Source organism: Homo sapiens, chromosome X (assembly GCF_000001405.40).
Source record: "Homo sapiens chromosome X, GRCh38.p14 Primary Assembly".
Lineage (NCBI taxonomy): Eukaryota > Metazoa > Chordata > Mammalia > Primates > Hominidae > Homo > Homo sapiens.
In genome coordinates this window covers 147,856,709-147,860,163 of record NC_000023.11, presented here as the reverse complement: position 1 = coordinate 147,860,163, position 3,455 = coordinate 147,856,709, and the positions used below count along the sequence as shown (strand labels likewise).

Here is a 3,455-nt window from a genome sequence, read left to right as displayed (position 1 = left end):
TACTACCACTGAACGTGGGAAACCCGTCCTGCCAACTATGTAAAGAAATATTTTATATTAAAATGTTTATTGGTGGGTAGTGATGGCAACTAGATAAGGTAAATCCTGGGGAGCTTATTTAAAGACAATAAGTGTTTTGTGGCAAACAGACCTCAAATGTTGATGAGAAAGCATATGACTGGTTCAATTTCAAAAACGAGAGATGAGTATAACCATACAAATGGAAAGATAACGCAGAAATTGATTTTGCAAGCAATTGTGCCATGGAAAATCCTGTACACCTGATATAGGGTCCAAAGTTTGCTGAGAGAGAAGCACCAGAGGAGTGCAGCTGAAACTGCCCTGAGCACATTGGTCAGAAGTAGTTTTTATGAATGGTAGAGAAAAAACAGGCTGCTTAGTGAAGTTGTTCTATATATTCTTCATTTTTCCTATGGTGGAATTAACCTAGGCCTAGATACTCTCTATGTCCCAGATGAAATTACTTTAAGGTGACAGCCAAGTGACAGTCCCGTCCTGTATACTAATGAGAGTATACACAAATATACAAGACATTTTAGGCTTCGAAAAAAAATCTTCCCATATGTTTGCATCTAATTCCATCTGTCTTTGATATAGAAAGATGACAAATGGAAATTGAGAATGAATTTTCCAAATTATTTTTCTCTAATCCAAACAGAAACTACAGAATGGCCTAAAGAATACTCTGTAAATCCCTGCCCCCAGCATGAAAAACAGTATCAGTCTTTTTCCAGTTATTCTGAAACAGCAAGACTAAATTTGGGGAAAACTTATAAGATAGTTCAATATTTTTCCATATTTAAATTATCTTTTCTGTGTTGGATCTATTATATTGGGCATTTGGACTCATTGATGCTTTGATATAAATTAGTGGATTAGCCTTAGAAGAAACCTTTGGTGAATATTAGCCTTAGGAGGGTCCTTTGAGTTCAACCACTTGTTTACTGAAGTCTGGTCATCATCCTTGCACAAGATAGCTGTTCCTTAAGGCTTCTGCTCACTTCAGAGGTGCTTGTTTATCAAGGTGAAGGTAGAAGAAAACATTCATTTAACAAATTATTCCACCCCAACTGGCTTCTCATAACACTCACACTTCCTCAAGAGTTGGTTTGTGCTTCTTGCCGTGTTTTAGCCAAATATTTTCCTGCCTAAGGGACTGGCTACTTTTACTTCAGGTCATTCTAGTAAATTGCACGAATTGAGTATTGTTCATAACTGTAAACCTTTGGATTCACAACTACACACATTTTTGCTTCGTTTTTCTCAGCACCATAGTCCTTGAAAAGATGGGTTAATTTGACATCATACAATGTACCTATCTGATTACATTTAGTTCTCCCACAGAATCTATTAGTGACTAATGTTACAGGCTTTGAATAATCTGTTTCTTTCTGCTTTTGTCCTAATAGCACTTTCAATCACAGTTAGATCCAAAGAACAACTGGCTTAAGGTGATTTCTTTTTCTTTTAATGTATTATTTTTCATCTGTACACAAGGGGGTCTAAGGCACTTTAATAATGAGCATGTAAAGGAGAAAACTGCGACCTAATGATTCACAAGGGTATTAGCAGCAGGTCTCTTATCTGATACCTACTCAACATTTCAGCAACTTCAGGCTTGCTACCATGGTCATCAAGGCTGTTGCCTTGGTAGATCTTGCAGTGTGTATCTGTGGATCTTACCTTCAGCAAACATTTTTTAAATGTGGGGCTTTGGGCTTTGTTGGATCAAATAGCACTTCCCGCAACAGAACACATATGCGCACCGGTACATTTCCCAGGCACAGGGACTTTATAAAGTTGTATAGCAGCGGTCCCCAACCTTTTTGGCATCAGGGACCCGTTTCATGGAAGACAAATTTTCCACAGACTGCGAGATGGGAGAAGATGATTTTGGGATAAAATTGTTCCATGTCAAATTATCAGGCACCAGATTATTATAATGAGCATGCAACCTAGATTCCTCCATGCACAGTTCACGATAGGGTTTACACGCCTATGCAAATTTAATGCCTGATGATCTGACAGGAGGTGAAGCTCAGGAGGTAACACTCACTAGCCCACCACTCACCTCCTGCTGTGTGGCCTGGTTTCACTATTGTAACAGGTCATGGAACAGTACCTGTCCATAGCCTGGGGGTTGGGGACAACTGCTGTATAGGACAATAACTCCTTTATATTTATTATATTTGCAAGTTTTGGATCTATCAGCTTTTGCTGGCTGGGGACTTTGGAATAGATGGAGCTTAATATGGCTTGGCTCTGCGTCTCTACCCAAATCTCATGTTGACTTGTAATTCCCAATGTTGAGGGAGACCCGGCGGGTGGTGATTGGAACATGGGGGTACATTTTCCCCTTGCTGCTCTCATGATAGTAAGTTCTCATGAGATCTGATGGTTAAAAGCATGTGGCACTTTCCCCTTTGCTCTGTCTTCTCCTGCTCCAGCCATGTAGGACATGCCAGCTTCCCCTTCACCTTCTGCCATAATTGTAAGTTTCCTGTGGCCTCCCCCGACCATGCTTCCTGTATAGCCTGTGGAACCGTGAGCCAATTAAATCTCTTTTTTTAAAAAATAAGTTACACAGTTTCAGGTGTTTCTTTATAGCAGTGTGAGACTGGACTAATGCACAGCTTCTGTTTCCTGATGCTTTAAACAGGCTTCACACTGCTTATAGATGCAATTTGTATCATTGTCTTTTTACAAATTTTTATTTTTTAGAGACAGAGGTCTCATTGTATTGCCCAGGTTGGCCTTGAACTCCTGGGCTCAGGTGATCCTCCCACCTCAGCTTCCTGAGTAGTTGGGGTTACAGGTGTGTGCCACCATGCCCAACAGCTTTTAAAATACAACGTTCAGCCTGGAATGATTTTACAGTATTAATGATCATGCCCTAACAGTGGCAACACAGCCTTCTACTTTCTGGAGAACTGGTGTGTTGTTCTATTAACAACATGAAAGAGGTTATATATTGAGAAGATTGTGACAGCATAACAGATCTCCTGTGATGTGGTGAAGGGGTCAGATACTTGATTAGAAGAGTGCTTAGTCTCTTTAACTTCTCTGTTTTTATTCATGACCTTATTTACAAAGATGAAATTCAACTGTTGCTGCGGTATTGATTCATTCCATGTAACCCTGAGAGAGACAACAGTAAGCTTTATGGTGATGGATGGACACTTCAAGATGATGGACACTTCAAGCCTTTTTTTCATAGCTTTTCTTCTTAATGATTTCATTGTCTTCAGGCTCAATTGATGATGGGGCTGAGCTCCAGGGAAAAGAAGGTTAAGAGGGGAGGGAAGATGTACCTTAAGAGATAGATCAGTGCTCTGGTACACATTTCACTAGGCTCATTTCTCAAAGCAATAATGAAAGTAGATAGGGGATAAATGTTGAAGTGCACCATGTGATCACAAATATGTGAAAAAATA

The 3,455-nt window shown here is 39.8% G+C and overlaps 1 annotated feature.

Annotated features, from left to right (window-relative positions):
• Positions 1,628 to 2,579: an origin of replication, noted in NCBI's record as "SNP1F/SNP1R amplicon; peak of nascent strand synthesis detected by quantitative PCR of size-fractionated DNA". NCBI's record gives the evidence for it as "EXISTENCE:fractionation evidence [ECO:0000100][PMID:25179629]".